Source organism: Homo sapiens, chromosome 5 (assembly GCF_000001405.40).
Source record: "Homo sapiens chromosome 5, GRCh38.p14 Primary Assembly".
Taxonomy (NCBI): Eukaryota; Metazoa; Chordata; class Mammalia; order Primates; family Hominidae; genus Homo; species Homo sapiens.
In genome coordinates, this window is record NC_000005.10 from 66,730,999 (window position 1) to 66,751,757 (window position 20,759).

Sequence of the window (20,759 nt, forward strand, 5' to 3'; positions counted from 1 at the left end):
GGTATTGGAACTTTAATCAAGTATGTCTTTATCAGTTTACCCTAGTTATACATACTATATAAAATAAGCATTATCCCACCTCTGAAAATTATTTCAGTTTTTGTTTATGAAAAAACTTAGATGGGCCACAGGTAATTGTTGTTAAGAGGCATTTTGGAGCTCCCATAGGGATACACAATTGAATAATAACACTTCAGTTTAATCATGACATGCTTTATGATAAAGTAGCATTGGGTGCAGCTTAGCAATATCCAAAGATCAGAACATCTGTTATCTGCAGAGACACTGGGGTATATCTGCCAGACGTTTGCATATAGAACAAGGTGTTTCAGTTAATGTGTCATGATAGTTTAATTACATCACCTTTCTTGGGAGTTTGCTCGATTCTAGGTTCAAGAGCATCCAATGAGATGGCAACCTATCAATTTTTCTTTCTTCACCAGCCTTCACTTATGCTATTGCTTAGTTAGGTTATATCTGCTTATTTCTAAAACATACATACAGAAAAAGAAAAAAATAGGTGCCCATCATTCTATTCAGCTTTTCTATGGCATTTAATCTTGGTTTTGAAAACCACTTTGTCTTTTTTCTCTTCCAACTTTTTTTTGTTGTTAACAAAAGGCAGTCTTTTCCTCTGGCTTATAGTCTTCTAGCTATCCTCCCTCCTTAAATAGTGGTTGTCTCACCTTTGTCTCCACTCTCATTTCTCTTGTGGTTTCTATATTGCAACCCCCAAACTGATTGCTTCTGCTTGATTTCTCTCCTCTTCCTCTTAGCTGGATTTTCACCTGCTTTCTTGATAAATCCATTAAGGTGTCCCAGAGGCAACCTGAATTCAACATGTGCAAGAACAAATTTCCTGTCTTTCCTCCTCAAGGCCAAGCCACCCTTGCTCCCCACAAGTAAGAACCCCATGGAGATCTGTGACTCTGTCCTCCTTCACCTTCCCTTCAGGTAGGCAGGAAGACTGTTCACTTTACTTTCCAAGTATCTGCCCAAGTGTTCTCCCTTCCTGTGATACCAGTCCCACGCAGGCCCTTTTGTCTCAACAGCTTCCTCACTGGCCTCTTTTCCTGACTCATCTCTATCCAGTTCACTTCCTAGACTACTGCTTGTGTGGTCTTTCTGAAGCATGGGCCTAATTTGTACTATTTCTTAGCTTTACAATGTCCGGTTTCCTATTGACTTTCAGTTACTGCTGGTCATTGTCAGCACTGGTTAGAAGACTAGTTCACAAACTAGTCCCAACTTCCTCTTCTGGCAGACTCTCCTTCCTACTGCCCTTTCTTCCACCTTCTCCATCTCTCCCCCAAGCCTCATTTTCTGGCCCCATTCATCATTTCTTCTACATACCACCCACTTTTCAGGCTTCCCCAGTTTGCCTACACTGTTGCCTCTGATAGAAAAGCTTTTCTTAACATTGCCTCTTCTTCCTGGAAGCCTTTGCTGACCCAGGCAGAACCACTCGCTGCATCTTGTGTGTTCCTCTAGCACTTTGGACACACCTCTCTCCTAGCACTGATCACTTTGTGCTATAGTTATTTGCTTAGGAAGCTGGCTTCTGACTGGTTTCTTAAGGGCAAGGACAATGCTTTGTGAACTTTATACATCTGGTGCCTGCGATATGTAGGCAATCAACATTTGTTCTTTGAATGAAAAACTGAACAGATGCATACTCCATCTGCAAATGCTCAGCATCTGGATGTGTTGGGGATTGGGGACAGAGATTGTCCCTTTTTCCACTTGAGCCTTGGTCTATTCTACCTCATGAGGAAAATAAGTAGATTGGATGAGATCCATGTGGTTGTGGAGTGGGTTGATCCGCTTGCTTCTATCTCTTGCTCAGCTGCACCTTTCCTTTAGCTTTCTTCTTAGTATTTCGCCATTCGGTCTCTAAAGCTCTGCTTGTTTTGGAAGATATGAGAATTATTTTTTCTGGTCCAATTTGAAAGTCCTGCTGTTTTTTCTGCCTGCACCCCACTCCTCCTTTTTCTCAGCATCATAATCCAGGTCTTCCCTTCATTGTGTTTGTTTTTTATGCTTCAACCTCCATGGCTGGCCTTCCAACTCCAAGTCTCATTCCAAGGCCACATTCTCCAGAGCTACCAGGCAAATCTGTCCCAACCTTTGCTTTAAACAAAAATGGGTTCCTTTTGCCTATGAAATACAGGCATTACATGTAAGACTTTTCACTAGACAACCCCTTCAGTTGTCCTGCCTCTGTCTCCCTGTCTCCTCCCTCCAACTCTTCTCTCTCTTCCTCTGACTATTCCTCTCCCGCTCCCTCTAACTTTCTCCGTTTCCCCTCCCTCTTCCCCCCACCACACACATGCACAGAGTTTTCTAATCCTATTTTTACAAATATGGTTTCCTTTCTTCAGATAGATAATTTACCAATTCCTACCACAGAAATTCATCTTATAGATATCTTTCATTCTGTAGGTTGGAACCCATGAATGGGTCATAAAATTGGCTTAATGGGTCATTAAGCGAGTGAGTCACCCAGGCTGGAGTGCAGTGGTGCGATCTCGGCTCATTGCAACCTCCGCCTCGGGTTCAAGCAATTATCCTGCCTCAGCCTTCCAAGTAGTGGGGATTACAGGCGCCCGCCACCACGCCCAGATAAGTTTTTGTATTTTTAGTAGAGATGGGGTTTCACTATGTTGGGCAGGCTGGTCTCAAACTCCTGACCTCAGGTGAGCCACCCACCTCGGCCTCCCAAAGTGCTGGGATTACAGGCATGAGCCACTGCGCCCAGCCAACTTGTGTTTTTTTTTTAAAGTGAAATTATAATAGAAGATAACAGAAAATGTGCATTGTAGTATGGCTAAATTATTGCTTTGTGAAATGTTTACTTAGTGGTATATGCCTGCTGGATAATAATCTAAAATGTCTTAGTATGGTTTGCAGTTAAATAATTTTGAAAGTTACTGACATACAGTAATACAAAACCATTAATTTCTTCAATATTTAACTAAAAGCTTACTTCCTTCATGAACCCTTTTGTGACAAGATAATAGGCTGTACATATCCCTGTTTTCTAAGCTTTTCTGTTACCTTGCTTTTTACCAAATTTTAAACAATTTTATGGCTCAAACTTTGCTTTTCTCCTTCTGTACTATGTCACCTCTGCATTTTAAATGAAAAGTTGTTACTCTGTGACCTTGTATGTATCTGCATATTTTGTAATTCTCCCATAGTTACTGTGTGAGGCTTCTAAAACTCCCAAATTAGATTGCAGACTTTTGGGGGGCTTTTAGTGACTTGTGGGCACCAAGTCAGATAATAGATATTAGGAACTTGGTACATACTGTTATTGGCTGGCAAGGAAGAATAATCCATAGAACTTCCACTGGTTTGGAAGCTCCTGAACTTGAATATCAGATGGAGTCCAGGGTATCATAGGCTATATTGTGTAATGTGGGCCATTGATCCATTGCACTCAAAATTCTTAATCTTAACTGTTTTCTACCTCATTTGCATCAATTTACCTTCCTTTATAAATAGAAGAACTTAGCCGAAAATGATGTATCTGTGAATCTGTATACTTTCTGTTCAAGACTAAGTAACTTCTTAATGTTTTCTGGGCTCTCACTTTATAGAGTATTGCTGTCCAATAGCGCTTTCTGAGATGATAGACATGTTCTATATTCTGCAGTGTCCAGTATGGTAGCCATTAGCCACATGTGGCTTTTGAGCTCTGAAAACAGGCTAGTGCAACTGAGGAACTAAATTTTTAGTTTAAATTAAATCTAAATAGCCACATGTGGTTGGTGGCCACTGTATTGGACGGCACAGTGTTGGAAGCTTGAAAACACATCAATTTGTATTTGTTTTTCTCCTATTTTCTAGCTGTCAGGACTCCCCACCCCTTGCAGTGTTGTTCTTTCTCTTTGTTCTAGTTATTCCTTAATTCTTCCACGGGACACCTGTTAGCATTCCATGCTCCACCCTTAAGAATATCTTCTGACCTGTATCCAAGAGCCTGTCTTAGAAGACATTGCAGAAACTAAGAGAGGAGATTTCATTTTTATATTTTTTAAATCCTTGGTGCCTAAATAACTTGTCATTCCTGTTTTCTTTCTGACAGCATAAATGCAGTTTATGTAGAGAAACTGAGCTTTTTTAAAAAGGGAAACATACAGGTGAATCTTTTCTACCAGTATTATAGCCCCAAATTATTTAAACCATTGAAACTAATAAGAAGTGCTCAGCTTGCTATCTTGGAACTACAGAAATTGTTTTATATTCAGAATTAATCATACAAAATAATTATACTCAGTATAAGGATGAGGTTAAAAATGTAGATCTCACAAATTTAGGTTTCATGCAGGTTTCATTTTAGTTCAATTACTATTGCTTGTAAAAAGTGATACCAGAAATAATAGTAAATGTTAATTTTATATGTTACTTTTATATGAACATATGTATTTTGTCCTCTGTGATATTTGGTATACAATAAGATGGAAGGTGGTGTTTTCAACTACTTGGAAGAGAGGCTAGGCTAATATCTAGTGTTATATATTATATGATACTTGCTTATTAAATAAATCTTGTATTTTTTTCTCCTGGTAGAGCAAGATACACTTATCCTAGGATCCATGCGCTTTGACAATTTGTGGATAACCTAAATTTGCTAGCAAAATTTTGTTTTTATGTGAATATGTTTTTATATGTATATTTGGAGAGAAGTATAGGATTTACAACGGGATCTGCGACTCTTAAAGGTTAAAAGTCACTTGTTAGGTTGAGAGATTCTTGACTGTAGGAGCTAGGTTTATCACTGTACCCTCACCCCCATTTGTGGTGTAATGTCATAACAGAGTAATTACTCGAGAAATGCTTTTGAAATGGAATTGGAAACCATTTCTTTCACAGGTGACAACACACTGCCTTTCTTTTTAAGCAGAAGGAATCTATGAAGACCTTTATTGTTTCATGCTTCTGATGTTAGGTTTCCATTATTGCTACAAGATAGGGTGATATGGAACATTTAATCTTAGAGCAAATAGCTGTGGGATTTGGGGGATCTGGAGAAGTTATTTTTCCCATTTCTATCACTTGTTTTCAGATATCCTGTTTCAAAGCTGACTCCATGGCAGACCCTAGCACCATCTTGTTTGTTTTAACCTTACTTGCATACCATTGATCCTTCCTTTCCATCTTTATTCATAAACATTGTTATAGAAGTTAAACCAAACCTTGGGCTGCTTAATGGTGGTCTCCCTGCTACCACTTATACTCCAACTAAGAAAGAGGCAAAAGATGCAGAATGCCAGGAGATGGAGAATACTTTGGCAACCATGTAGTGAGGGAATTTTTTTTTTTTTTTTTTGGTCCTTGTATGTGTGTGCCTTGCCTTATATGTGCCTCTTAGCCTGCTGACACACACACACACACACACAACTGGAGCTGTAGGTTGGCTCTGGGTCAGTCGCTGAATTACTATTTAAAAAAATAGCAAATTACCCAGAGAATGAAATGCAAGTTCTTGGGCAGGGAAGAAAGGTAGCAACAATGATTCAGCTGCTAAAGTTGGCAATGGGTCAGTGTCAGGGAAAGTGATTCCTACTATGGCTATTTTACTAAGTTCTTTAAGTCTTTTTTAAGACGAAGGTAGAGTATGAGGACATAAGGATTAACGTAGTTTTTCTGCAGTCCTGCATTCAGGTACAGTTAACAGTGGTCTATTCTTTTCTTTGCTCTTTTGCAGTTCTTCAAGAGTTTGAGTCATGAAGTGTGAAGCCTAGAGATGGTGTGATACACAGAGATGAAACTGGTTTTCACAGGTGATAGATGGAAGGCTGTTTTCAAAAGATCAAGGTAGCAGTGAAGGGTACTACTCTTGTACACTTACATATGATGAATAGGAAAACCTAGGGTTAGGAACCAGAGAATGCTGTACTTGGTTGAACATGTTTGCGTCCCCTCTGTAATATCCGAGTCATATGGGTTGGTATATAGTCCATTCTGTAAAGTCACTATGAACACATAATTTGTATAACATATGCATATACTCAGGCCAGAGGACACTTGATATAGCAGTTACCTTTTCCTGTGTAAGAAATTATCCCCCAAATTGAATAGCTTAAAAAAAGTTTTATCCCAGTTTTTTTGAGTTAGGAATTCAGGAGTAGCTTAGCTGGTTGGGTGGCTCTGGGTAATTCAGGAAGGTGCAGCCAGGACAGCAGTCCTCTGATGGTTTGACTGGGGCTGCAGGATCCACTTCCAAGACAGTTCCTTTATGTTGCTGGCACATTGGTGTGGGCTGTTGTCAGGAAGCCTCAGTTCCTCACCATGTGGACCTGTCCATTGGGCTGCTGAGTGTCCTTGTGTTGTCCTCATCAATGAGAGAAAATGCAAAGAGGAAGCCACAATGCCTCTTACAGTTGAGCCTCAGAAATCACACACCAGTATTTATGTTGTGTTTTGTTTTTCAAAAGTAAGCCACTAAGTACAGCCTGCACTCAAGGGGAGGGTACTACCTCTTGAAAAGAGGAGTACCAAGGAATTTGTCTGCCTATTATAAGATCACCGCGCCTGGGCAGCTGAGAGTCCCTCCTTGGCCTCGTATCTCTCCGTGTACTTTGATCCCTTCTGTCTTCTACTTCTGGATTCTTTCTGTGTCTAGGGTACATACTGAAGAGGCTGCTTCATCCTTTGAGGTCCTGTGCTTTTATGGAAGGAGCTTTAGGCTCATTAGAGGTTTCTGAGTGATACCTCTACAAGACAAGCCTTTCTTTTGCTAATATTGATCACTCCTTACAGCATAATTTCCAAGTCACTCTCTTGACTTCGATCAATCAGAGAATTCCTTAGGACCGCTTGAGGCAGATATGAAAAGAAGAGAGTGAGGCTGATGAGGAAAGAAAAAACCAAAAAGTCCTGCTTGTACCCTGACCTGCCATTTGGATTCTTCAAGAACATAGTTTTTGACTTAGTACCAGGAAGGACATGGGAGTTGTTCCAAATTAGAACGGGGTGCATTGTGAGCAAATAGGTCCCCTCAGAACTCATTATGCTGGATGAGCTGTGCAAAGAGAGCTGACAAATTCAACCACAGATTTTTACTGAATGCCTACCCTATCAGTTGGGAAGGGTGATGACAACCCATGACATAAAGCACAAAAGTGTATTTCTTACTCGTGCTTTATATCCATTGTGAGTAGACTGAGGCTCTACCTGGCAGTGTCCTCACTCTGGGATAGGCTGACAGAGCAGCCCCCATTTGGAGCAAGCAGTCACTGAAGCAGAGCTAGGTAAGAGTGTTCTGGAGGATCTCACACCCACAATTTAGTGCTTTAGCCTGGAAAGGACACACCCTGCCTTTTCTCACACTCACTGGTCAGACTTTGTCACCTGGCCCTGTCCAACTGCAAGGAGCTAGAGAGCACAATATTATTGTATGCCTAGAAGGTGGAGAGCCCAAAAGAGTTTACTTGGCACTATTGGCTTTCATACCTGCTATGTGCCAGGCCCCTCTTCTAGCCTCTGGGGATTCATCAGGGAGCAAAACAGACCCTGCCTTCATGAAACTTATGTTCTAATGGGGGAGGGAGACAATAAGCCAGCAAGTAAAATGTGCAGTGTGTTAGGTGCTAGGTACGGCGGAGGAGAATATAGCAGGAGCAGGTGAAGAATGGGTTCTGTGTTGCAAACATGTTTAATGCAGGCCAGCGTAGGTGGTTAGGATGCCCTCCTCCCGGTTGAAAGTGCTCCGACACAGGTCTGCTTTCTCGGATCTTGATTGTGCTGAATACTCAGCTGCTGTCAGGCCTTTTGCACTGTGAACCACACCATACTTTTAGGCTGTTCATAAATCCCTTTCTTCTTCTTTGAACTTTTATTTCTAACTTAAGTACCATTGTTGTTTAAATTTTTGTTATGAGATATTGTGACTACATAAGACCGAACTGTAAGAAACCTTAGAAGGTTTTTAGTCAATTACTTCCCTCTTTTAGAACAGTTATTGAAGTCTTAAATTATTGATACCTTCATTGCCATTTTCCTATAGATCTTTTTTTTTGCTTAATTAGCTACCGTGATGAAGAGTGCTTTATTATCAAGCAAAAAAGGCCATCACTTAAATGCATTTGTGTGATTTATGTAACAGTCATTCCTAAGATTTCAAAAGTAATTTTTTAGAGTTGAATTTCCTGCTTTTTCCTATATTCTCATTCATTGTGAAAATGGGGAAATGGCACATAGTTCTCATTTTTAGTGAAATATCATTTATGTAACATAAAGTGTAAAATTATGTTACACTTCCTTCCTTAGAGGACACCCAGTTGTTTAGTCGCATCTTTCTTCGGTTGTGGGGGCAGCAGTCATTCTTGTTTCCTTGACCTCTGTATTTCCTGGGGCAGGAATTTTTGGGAGAAAAAGAGGAGATGAGTAACACTGGTTTGCCTTAATCACAAAGGGGTAGAAATAGGTGGTAGAGAATGACTGGGGCCCTTCTTGACCTTGCTCCAAGGAGTTTTTAGAAATAGCCAGACCTCCTCTCTTTTCACATATATAGAGGCATTTCGACTTTGTTTCAGTCTTCTCTTCACTCCCCCTCAACAGCATATCTCTCAACGCCCTGGGGTAGTTGTCATCTAATAATGTCAAGTATAAGTAGATGTTTATTCCTGTGACACGTATACCGGATGTTAAATATGTCAAACCTTTTGCTCAGTGTTGGGGGCTGCACACAAGACACCGGGATTCAGAGCAGGCAGCGACCTATTAAGGAAGAATGGGATTATGTTTTCCCATGGCAAATGCTAAAACAGAAGACTCAGCTAAGCATTTTTGTACATGTTTTTTTTTCTGCCAAGCAGGATGTTATTTTCCATCACTCTTGTTTTTTTTTTTTTTTTCATCCTGCTTTTTGTAGGTGACATTTATTGAGGAATACTTCCTCTCCAAGACATGCTGCTGTTGAAGTTTGTTGTGAATGATTTTTAGGTTTCTTAGTAGTACTATGTTTAGGGCTATACCGGGGAATTAATCCATATCCTTTGTCTTGGGAATGTTGGGAGGTAGTGAGAAGTCATCAAGAGGCATAACTGCCTGAGGGCTGCTAGGCCTGTGGGAGGAACTGAGTGTGGATGTGGGTGGGTGGCTGCTGGAGGACTCATCAGTTGTGCCCTGCATAAAGTTGAAACCCTAAATAAAGTCGAAAGGCCATCTCATCACATGAGGAAAGCATTAGAGGCTGATGTAAACTCTTAAAAGAGACAGCAGAGGCTGGTGGAAGGCAGCAGAGAACATGTTGTGAGGCAGGAAAGATTAGGAAGTTGCTGTATGTCTTGGCTCAGAACATTGGCTGATGATTGATCTTGAGGAACACAGTGAAAACGTGCTGTCTCTTAAATTTAAATTATGTTTGCTGTGGAGACTCCTCAAGCAATTCCTCCTTGTGGAATGCACAGGTCCACATGGAAAATGCTGTATTTTCTACCTTAATATTCTCATTAACCATCATCTCCCAGAAAGAAGGTCCACGGAGTGCTTGTTACATCTGTGCTTGGCTCACAGAAGGCCTGCAAATGTTTGTTCCGTTTCTCCTTTCTTCTCTCCCATCCATCAGTCTTCCATAGCTTGGCTGTTTGTTTTGGAGGTGATCTTAGGAGGCTTACATAAATGTGGAGGTGGAGGAAGTAGAGAAATTCAGTGAGAACATGATTCAAAAAAGCAGAGTGGAAAAGGAAGCAGGCCCAGTGGAGCCTCTTCCACCTGTGCAACTTGGATCAGGTACAGTCGTCGCTCAAGCTGTTGGTCTGTGGCTGGGTGACAGTGCTGGTGCTGCCTGCGGGAATATGGAATGGAAAACAGTTCCGGAATGGCTTGTGTTTGACAGCTAACTGTGGGTCTCTGATACCTTGGGCAAGTCACTTATAAGCTTCGAAAACCTCAGTTTCCTTATCTGTGAAATGGGGATGATAATACCACATCAGAGGGTTGTTTTAAAGATCAAATGAGATAATGTTCTGAAAACACTTAAGATGGTGCCTGGCCTGTTTGGGAGAAGGCTGCTAGGTTGTGACCATGGAGAAAGGAGACATTGCTCACCCACCTTGCTTGCTTTTTCTCAAACATACTGAATGCACTCTGACTTCAGGGCCTTTGATACTTGCCATTTCCTTGGCCTGGAAGCTTCCACTCCCTGTGCAGCTCACCCCCTTCCTTCCTTTGGGTCTTTGTTCAAATGCCCCCCTCTTCAGAGCAGTCTTCTCTGGTCACTAATATGATAGACTAACCCTCATTCTTTGTCGCATCTCCTGCTTTCTTCTTCTTCACAGACCTTATTACCACCTGAAGAAAGGAACTTTGTTCTGGTCACTGCTGTCTGCACAGTGGCCAAACCACACTTGGCACATAGTAGATGCTCAGTGAATTTATATAAATCAGGCACCCACAAACCTGTTCTATAAAGGGCCAGATAGTAAATATTTTAGGCTTTGTGGGCTATATGGTCTCTGTGGCAGCTGCTCAACTCTGCTATAGTAGGCAGCATGTAGACACAACATAAAGAACGAGTGTGGCTGTGGTCCAATAAAATTTTATTTGGCACACAGGCTGTGTTTGCCAATCCCTGGAATGTCAATAACAGTGAAGGTCAGGAATGTACCTTTAGTGGATATAGTGGTTTGAGCTTTGTGGGAACGGGACCTCTCAACAGTGGACTCTAAAGGTGACTGTAACCTTTAGAGAAATATGTGGAATTGGAGGAAAAAGAACCCCATAGCCCTGGTGAGGAGGTGGCCTGGCTTCTGGCAGCTGTAATGATACTCATGGTCAGGGGATCGGTGTGCTTCACCAGCCAGGCCAGTCAGATGGGTATGTCTCCTAAATCAGAGCTGTTCTTTCATTTCTTGTGAACTGATTTTTGTTAATTTTTAAACACTTACATGGCAGAGGAATTCATTGCTTAAAATCCCTGTATAAGGAGAGGAAATCGAGTTGATCTACTGTAAGTTCAGGTTGTTATATACTAGAGCCCTAGATTTATTGAAAGGATGAGCATCTGTACTCCCAGAGCGGAGTGCTGTGTTCTCAGGCAATTTCAGGCTCTCACTTAGAAGCTTCCCCTTAGCTTGTCTCTTGTTTCCAGCCTTTCGATCCACACGCCTTCATTGCAGAGCTGGTCTACCAGTGAGGTGCAGGCAGGAATGGGAAAATAGACACTTGGAGCGTGAGAGACGGAGCTGGGTCAGATGCTGACCGTACAGTTGCTCTCGCGGTTCATCTGCCCGAGTCTGTTTTCAGAGTTCATAAGATGCCAGTGTGTTCACACTTCCCGAGGCGGCCACTGGTTGGCACTCAAGCTCATTAAGTTGTTCCCTGGGGTTCTTGTGTATTGGTGTGTTTTGTTTTTGCCCTTTAGGGGGAAAGGAAACAGAATTGCTACTCTTATTGGCTAAGATTAGTTGTAATTTTATTAATAATTTTAGAATAAAATTGTTTATAGACATGGTTAAAAAAACAAAAAGGAATGTGATGCAACTCTCAAAGCTCCTGAGCGCTCCTCCAGCTGCTGCCTTGGCCTTATTTAGGCAACCCCACCCAGTCCTTGGGGGCTGCCTGGAAGACTCAAGGGACTCTTGACAAATTATTTTCTGTTTTTACTACACTGTGGCTTCTGGTGAATACTTCTTTTAGTGGAGTTGCGAACCTGTACCCAAAGGCGAAATCTTTTCCTTTCCTGATTGCATGTGAAGGTGGGAACATCTTGAGTAACTTTGTGCTCTTGTAACCTACAGGAGAGTTTTCTTCTGGCAAGCGGAGGTGTCAGGCCTGTTTGGAGCCAGATCTTGTCGTCAAGAACAAATACATGAAGGAAGTTTGAGGAATGGTTGGTCAGCTAATCAGAATTCAGAGTACAGTGTCATCAAGTTGCTCACATGCTCATAACCCCGGGTGAATAGTAGAATAGGAAGAAAAGTTCAAGTAGATTTGTTTTCTGGGGAAATCTATCAAGCTATTAATTGTGAATAGTAGCTTGCACTCTGAATGCACTCTCACTTCAGGGCCTTGATGCTTGCCGGTTTCCTGGCCTGGAAGCTTCCACTCCCTGCGCGGCTCACCAGCTTCCTTCCTTTTGGTCTTTGTTCGAATGCCACATCTTCAGAGCAGCCTTCTCTAATCACTCATATGATAGAGCAGCCCTTGTTCTCTGTCCCATCTCCTGCTTTCTTCTTCTTCACAGCCTTTTCTTCTTTCTTTTGTTTTTCTCATTGCATTTCCCATGTCCCCTCTTCCTCCTCATGTATGTGTTTCTGTCATTTTCTCCTTCCCCTTTTTCTCTAGTTCATGTTCCCTTGAGAGGTTGGCAGGTTAGACCTGGCTCGTCTCTTGGGGACTGGGAATCCAGGTGGGGAAGTTTGCCTTGGGATTCAGCCCTGGGATGGCGTGACCTGGGAAGAGAGAAGCTGGGGTGTCAGTGCTATTACCCAAAGTTTTAAAGCAAGCCCTAAGTTCCTGCGTGCCTCCCACAGAGGTGGGGCGGGCATTTGGAAGTGCTTTGGGCAGGTTGGTGGCACAGGCCTGGCACTGGGTCAGAGTCCAGTCCTCCACAGGCTGCGTTTCAGTGGCAGGAGTTATCAGTGCAGGACGCTGGGCACAGGGTGGCCCCCAGACCTGGAGTTCTGGGGACACAGGGCAGGGAGACTAGTAATGGAGAGGCAGAGACTCAGCCCAGGGAAACAGGAGGATAGCAGGGCAGAAACCCAGTCAGATAGAATTCAGGGGTAAGACGGATCTATGCTGTGCCAGGGGGCTGCTGGTTTAAGGTCTTGGAATTTTAAAATTTTTTTCTCGTGGATTATACTTATAATTATTTATTAATAGATATTTATTACAATTGCATATTATGTATTGTTTTGGCTAAGAGAGAGATGATTGGTCTTTGGTTCTACAGTGGGACACAGCTTCGAGTGGAAGGGGGAGAGGGCACAGCTCTGGGGAACTCAGGAGCTAAGCAGGGCATTGCATTTTCTGAACATCTCTTATTTGGCCACTTTCTTCTCTTTTCCTCTTCCTCTCTCTCTTCTTTATCCCTCAGTCATTTCCTTCTCTTTCTTTACCATTCCCTTCATGTTTTCTGGTTATTTTTTTCCCTTTAAGAAGAAATAAAGCTGATAAGATAGCTCAAATGGCCCAGTGCCCCTCCATCCCCCAGAGACATCTCACCCTCTTACCATTTGCCAGTTGCTCAGCGGTTATCTTTCTGTGTCTTTCTGAATGATTTCCATTTTAACCACGTGGGGCCCCTGGGCTGCTGATAATTCGTGACTCATGTTTCTTAAGAATGCTTTTCTTAAGAACATTTATTTTGCCTCTTGGGTCAGAGCTATCCACTGTAGAGTTCCTCAAACAGCTCGTTTTCCCTCTTAATATGAAGTCATGAAATGAATATTAATTTTTAGCATTTGTCCAGTTAAAGAGCTTAAACGTTATTTTATAAGAAGTATGTATTAGTTCTTGCACTGCTATAAAGCAATACCTGAGTGAGTAATTTATAAGGAAAAGAGGTTTAATTGGCTCATAGTTGTGCAGGCTGTACAGGAAACATGGCAGCTTCTGCTTCTGGTGAGGCCTCAGGAAACTTATGACCATGATGAAAGGTGAAGGGAAAGCAATGCATGTCTTACATGGCAGGAACAGGAGCAAAGGGATGCTACATACTTTTAAAACAACCAGATCTCAGGATAACTCACTCACTGTCACCAGAACAGCACCTAGTGAATGGCACTAACCCATTCATGAAGGATCTACCCCCATGACCAATCACCTCCCACCAGGCTCCTCCTCCAACATTGGGGATTACACTTCAACATGAGATTTGAGTGGGGATACAGACTCAAACAATATCAAAGAGTTTATTTTAAAGCTTTTTCCAGAAACTTGTATAAAGTTTATTTTTGGCTTCGATGCATGTTATTGAACAGGTCAACAATTGATTGTTTTCCTTTATAGTTCTGAAAAAATGTACTAGGCTAAGAAAGCATAGGGAAGGGGGAAGAGAATAAGCAGTTGAGAGCCTTTTTGGTGTCAGGTATGATCCCAGGAGCTGTGTATTGATCATTAATTGACCAAGATCCTGTGAGTAGGATATAATTATCCTTATTTTATAGATGAAATTAAAACTTGTTCACCTTAAATTTATACGGCTGATAAGTGGCTGGATGAAGTCCCAGCTGTGGGCTTGCCTCAAACCACTGCCTTCCTCCTCACCACTGTTTTCTGATCCTTTTGGGTGGTGTAATGTGATGAGCTGCACGATGCCTTCAGCATCTGGTCCATAGGAAGCAGTTGCTGCCTAAAGAAGGGTAGATGTTTAGGATCTTAAAGGCCCACATTATGATGTATGGTGCCCATGGAGTGGGAGAGACTGCTCTTTCTCTCTTACCTCTTAGAACGTGGTGGATGGATTTGAAAAGCCCCCAATCAGAAGGAAAATAATTATAGCATGTGTTTAGATACCGCTAATTATCAATTAATCGATCATCGATTAATGATCAATATACAGCTCCGTACTGCTCTGTGCTCCATCCTGGACTGGCTTCTGGGTACCTGAGAGGACTGTAACCTATGTGAGTAAATGCAATTGAAGGCATTAAGCAATACCAGCATTGCCCAGCTAACAAGGTAAGGAAAATAATTTATTAGGTGTTGGACCACAGCTCTGCTCAAAGCTGTAGAATTGCTTGTACCTGACTCTGTCCCGACTTTTGCCATGTTGTCTTAATGGTTGTGGTTTTGTGTCTGTGGACTTGGATGGAAGTGTCCCAAGGAAGATGACTGTATCTTTTCTGTTTTCTAGCTTTAACCTTTAGCGCAATGTCTAGTCCATAGTAGACATTTGGGTAAACAAATTTTTTTAAAGCAATTCTGGGTTGATAGAGTATGTGGGAGTAGAAAACCAGAGGAAATCATACACTTGATTGTAACAGTGATGAATACTGCGGGACTGCAGGAAGCACAGCACATAGGCAGTAGGTTGTGGGTGTAGAAATTTGGGTTCTGGTCTGCGTTCGTGCACCAGTCATCTTTCTAAATCTGGGCAGTTCATTTGACTTGTCTGGGCCTCCATCTTCCAGTAAAACCAGGAAATTAGACTACAGATGATTTTTAGGTCCTTTCCACTGCTTAATGTTTTGTGATTCTGTAATTCTATCTTAAAAATTGCCGCCATAGAAACCCTAGAAACTACTTGGGTAGCCAGCCAATTAGGATTGAACTGGATCATTTGGATTGGTTGACACCAGGTTCTAAGAATCCTGTCTTTGTGGAGTCTTCTCAGACTGGGGATGTAAGAGGAGGTTAAGGTTGACTTTCCAAAGCTTTGGGCACCTTGCCACAGTGAGCCTTTCTGGAACACAGTCGAACAGAGGAAGAAATGTGGGCTTTGTAGTTGGGCATCTTGGGCTTGATTTCTCATAGTACCTCCTAATGAGCTGAGAGCTGTGAAGGATTTATCTTTCTGAATCCTTTTCCTCTTTGGTAAAATGGGAATACTACTGCCTAGTAGGGAGTCTACTTTCTCTCCCAAAGCTGGAAGCAGGCATATAATGTCAGGTTTTGTGGCATCGTGTGGGAATGTTCCCCTCTGACTTTAAATGGAAGGAAGATGATGGGTGAGCAGTATATTCTCTTCCTGCTTGTTAAGCATGGTCAGACTCTTTAGTTATGTTGCTGATGGGGACTTGATGGTATCAGGGCAATTTAATGACTTCAGATAGGTAAACAACTTCAGGCATAGATCAAACACCTAAATAAAGGTCAAGGAAACATCTAGAATATTAAAGTGACAGGAAAACAGGTGATGTATATGCAAAATCAAATTAGTATTTTCCGTGTTCTCCCAGTGTCATTGTTCCTAAAGTAAACTTTGAGAAATGATTCATAATTTGAAAACTATGCACAAAGTGTGCCATGTTTTAAAAAACTATAAAATGATACTAGCTTTATTTTTTTTTTTAACATCTTTAGACTGTTGACTTTATTGCTTAATCACAGTCAGTTGCAATTAAATGCCTACAGTGTCGTGCTCTGTCCTTGGGGCTGTGATGAAATTGTATTGCTGGTGGTGGATGTGTGCATGCGCATGGTGTGTGTGTGTGTGTGTGTGTGTGTGTGTGTGTATGTATGTGTGTGTAGAGAAAAGGAATTGACTTTCTTGAAGTTGACAGTCACGAGATAGCAGTATCAAAGTGCTAATATACATATTTCTCTTGGAAGGGAACAGAGAAAATCAATTCTCTTAAGAAATGAAACTAGTGCTACAGCTCTGTTTATGTGAATGCCACTGTAGTTTGATCTAATACTGTATTTTGGGATGTTTCTGAAACACTTCTTATATTTCTATTGAAGTTTGTGATTCAGAGAATTAATTATAAAACCAAAGATGGAAAATGATATTGGTATCTAGTACATCTTCTAGTTTAAACACATTCTATTGATGCATTCTTTCTTAAAAAATATGGACATTCATTGAGAAAGTGAATTGCAGTGAACAGTTAAATAGTTTGGGTAAATTGATGTTGCTCAGCAAATTATTTGCTTACCAAACCTTTGGTGGCATGAACAATTTTTGCTGAGATTCTATCTGTGCTCTTCCTCTGTCCCGCTTCCTGTTCTCAAAAGCTTTTAGGATGACCTACAACCTAGGTCATCTCAGCAAGGTGACGCACTCAAAAATAGGTGAAGAGAGACAAAAAGGAAAGTGAGTGTAGGGCGGGGGTTCTCAATAATGGCATTGCTGATGCTTTGAGCTGGATAATACTTTGTTGTGGGAAGCTGTCCCGTGCATTGCAGGAAATTCAGTTAGCCTCCCTGGCCTGTAGCCAACCCAAGTTGTGACAACCAAAAATGGGTTCAGATACTGCCCCATGTCTTCTGAAGGGTGAGGGGGTGGAGGGAAAATCACTATGAGTTCAGAACTGCTGGTTTAGAGGGTAAGGTGAAATCTGGACCAAGGTTAGCACAGCAGATGGACCCGTGAAGTCTCAGTTGGACATAGGACATGCTATGCTTGTTGGTGATAGGGTGTGGGCTTTGCCAGGGGATTTCTAGGGACTGAAGTAGAGAAACATGACTAGGTATGTGGGTTATGGTGTTCCCAGGATAAAAATAGTCTTAATGCAAGGAACTGAAAGGATTTTCTCTAGATGTTCCTCTCCTCAACTCCAATGAAGTTCCCAGTGGGCAGGGATTTCTGTCAGTTTCGTTCCTTGCCCTTTTGCCAACTGCTGTGTCCAGAGCAATACCTGGCACACAGCCGCTTAATAAATGTCTATAAAAAGAGATGAGTCTTCATAAGGAAGGATGCTATGCAATATAGGCCCTTCTTTACTTGTTTATAAGAACAGAGCAGCAGGATTTATAGGACCCCTTCCTTCCTTCTTTCCTTCCTTCTTTCCTTCCTCCCTTCCTTCCTCCCTCCCTCCCTCCCTCTCTCCCTCACTCCCTCCTTCCTTCCTTCTCTTCCTTCTCTTCCTTTTCTTCCTTTTCTTCTTCTTAGATGGAGTCTCACTCTGTCGCCAGGCTGGAGTGCAGTGGTGCGATCTCGGCTCACTGCAACCACTGCCTCTCGGGTTCAAGCAGTTCTCCTGCCTCAGCCTCCCAAGTAGTTGAGGACTACAGGCGTGCGCAACCACACCCAGCTAATTTTTGTATTTTTAGTAGAGACAGGGTTTCACCATGTTGGCCAAGATGGTCTCGATCTCTTGACCTCATGATCCACCTGCCTCGGCCTCCCAAAGTGCTGGGATTACAGGTGTAAGCCACCATGCCTGGCTGGGACCATTTCTTACAGTATCATTAAATGGAAGAATGCATTCTGGGTGGTATAATCCAACATGACTGTCAGCAAAATCAATTAATAGGTCCCAGGATGGTGTGGTCTAGGACTGTAGAGGTCTTGGTGGTCTGACTCAATCTATAGTTAGATTTTAAGATGCTAGGGAAGGGGCCTTGCATATTCTTCAGGCACTGCAGAGAATAATAAATGTTTTTCTATTCTTTGAGTGGTATAGAACAGAGATAAGAGTGCCTGAGAGGTGTCACTCAGGAGGGCCAGTTAAATAGAGCTGCTGCAGGTTGTAGCAGACATCAGGCCAAGGTAAGGGGAGGGAGACTTGAGCTGAGCCTAGGGCGATAGTGACATTTATCAGTATCACTTGTTACTGAGTGTGTCTGTGTGCCAGCTCTTTTCATGCATCATCTCTCTGCATCCTAACTGCATCTCTGAGGTCCAGTCTGAGAGAGAGGTAGCTTGCCCAGGACATGACATTGGGATTCTGTTCCTGGCAATTCCCACTGGGGCTAGGTCCCTCACCACTGTACTGCTCCGTTCATGCCAAAAACATAGCTACAGATGCCCGTAGCATAGGCGATCACACCCTAGAATTCTGTGCTCTGGAATACAGGTATGAGCATTACAGCCTGAAATAATGTAAAATCAGTTTAAATCAAATTCTCACTTGAGCCATAAAAACAAAACACAAACCAAAACCTTGGTATGATTGTAAAGAGTTTAATTTCCTTGTGAACCATTGATGATGATGTACACTCACAGAGATGTTTGCCTAGACAACGAAGTGACTTACTACAGGACAATGATATTAATAGTCATAGCTGTCATTCATGGTGCACTTCCTTTGTGCCAAGCACTGTCTTAGGTGCTTTACATATATGTACTGTCTTCATCCTTACTGCCACCCCAGTAGATAGATATTTATTGTTACTAACATCTCATGGTTGAGGAAACAGGTGCAGAAATAGTTAAATATCTTAATTAGGATAGTAAGTGTCAGCTCTCATCTGGGCTTGTAACCACTGTGGAATTAGTATGAAACGAATAATGAGTGTTTTAACTGTAGAAGCCTGTTCTATCAAATTTTAAAATATTGATTATAGGCTTCGGTTTAAAAGTAGATAAAATCCAATTTTGAAATAAAGTCATTTCAGGTTGCCAATTTGATTCTTTATTGGGTGGCAGGGATGAGAGAGAGAGAGCAGTTAATTAGGATTACAAGCATAGTCTCTGCAGTTTTATAATCTATTTTCATATCTTTGGTTTCTTAAGATATTTAATATCAAGAAACAGAATAACTGAACAATGTCTTCATAATCTATGTTATGAATCAGTCTCTTCTCTTTTTTTAAGCATAAAAAGGACTTTACTGGTGAGCCTCTCATTATGTATGCAGATGACATTGGTGATCCCTTTGAACTAATGAACTTTGGCCTTAGGGCATGTGCATACTGGATGAGTCTTTAAAATGCATGTGCTGAGGGAGGAGCCAAGATGGCCGAATAGGAACAGCTCAGGTCTACAGCTCCCAGCGTGAGCGACGCAGGAAACGGTGATTTCTGCATTTCCATCTGAGGTACCGGGTTCATCTCACTAGGGAGTGCCAGACAGTGGGCGCAGGTCAGTGGGTGCGTGCACCGTGTGCGAGCCGAAGCAGGGCGAGGCACTGCCTCACTTGGGAAGCGCAAGGGGTCAGGGAGTTCCCTTTCTGAGTCAAAGAAAGGGGTGACGGACGCACCTTGAAAATCGGGTCACTCCCACCCGAATACTGCGCTTTTCCGACCGGCTTAAAAAACGGCGCACCAGGAGATTATATCCCGCACCTGGCTCTGAGGGTCCTACGCCCACGGAGTCTCCCTGATTGCTAGCACAGCAGTCTGAGATCAAACTGCAAGGCGGTAGCGAGGCTGGGGGAGGGGCACCCGCCATTGCCCAGGCTTGCTTAGGTAAACAAAGCAGAGGGGAAGCTCGAACTGGGTGGAGCCCACCACAGCTCAAGGAGGCCTGCCTGCCTCTGTAGGCTCCACCTCTGGGGGCAGGGCACAGACAAACAAAAAGACAGCAGTAACCTCTGCAGACTTAAATGTCTCTGTCTGACAGCTTTGAAGAGAGCAGTGGTTCTCCCAGCATGCAGCTGGAGATCTGAGAACAGGCAGACTGCCTTCTCAAGTGGGTCCCTGACCCCTGACCCCCAAGCAGCCTAACTGGGAGGCACCCCCCAGCAGGGGCACACTGACATCTCACACGGCAGGGTATTCGAACAGACCTGCAGCTGAGGGTCCTGTCTGTTGGAAGGAAAACTAACAAACAGAAAGGACATCCACACCCAAAACCCATCTGTACATCACCATCATCAAAGACCAAAAGTAGATAAAACCACAAAGATGGGGAAAAAACAGAACAGAAAAACTGGAAACTCTAAAAAGCAGAGCGCCTCTCCTCCTCCAAAGGAATGCAGTTCCTCACCAGCAACGGAACAAAGCTGGATGGAGAATGACTTTGACGAGCTGAGAGAAGAAGGCTTCAGACAATCAAATTACTCTGAGCTACAGGAGGACATTCAAACCAAAGGCAAAGAAGTTGAAAACTGAAAAAAATTTAGAAGAATGTATAACTAGAATAACCAATACAGAGAAGTGCTTAAAGGAGCTGATGGAGCTGAAAACCAAGGCTCGAGAACTATGTGAAGAATTCAGAAGCCTCAGGAGCCGATGTGATCAACTGGAAGAAAGGGTGTCAGCGATGGAAGATGAAATGAATGAAATGAAGCGAGAAGGGAAGTTTAGAGAAAAAAGAATAAAAAGAAATGAGCAAAGCCTCCAAGAAATATGGGACTATGTGAAAAGACCAAATCTATGTCTGATTGGTGTACCTGAAAGTGATGCGGAGAATGGAACCAAGTTGGAAAACACTCTGCAGGATATTATCCAGGAGAACTTCCCCAGTCTAGCAA

The 20,759-nt window shown here is 42.5% G+C and overlaps 1 protein-coding gene across 10 annotated transcripts in view; it reads left to right on the plus strand.

The window, feature by feature from the left end:
* Nucleotides 1-20,759, plus strand: part of MAST4 (microtubule associated serine/threonine kinase family member 4) — a 573,201-nt gene that overhangs the window by 134,606 nt on the left and 417,836 nt on the right. Inside the window, exon 1 of one of the 10 annotated variants that reach the window (XM_047417159.1) lies at nt 4,526-5,823. The exons of 8 other annotated variants lie outside the window; for them this stretch is intronic. In XM_047417159.1, coding sequence (XP_047273115.1) covers nt 5,797-5,823 — 27 coding nt within the window. In that variant the 5' untranslated portion in view covers nt 4,526-5,796. Of the gene's footprint in view, nt 1-4,525; nt 5,824-20,759 lie in introns of those variants that run through there. One more of the 10 variants, XM_047417160.1, reaches the window with a different exon arrangement.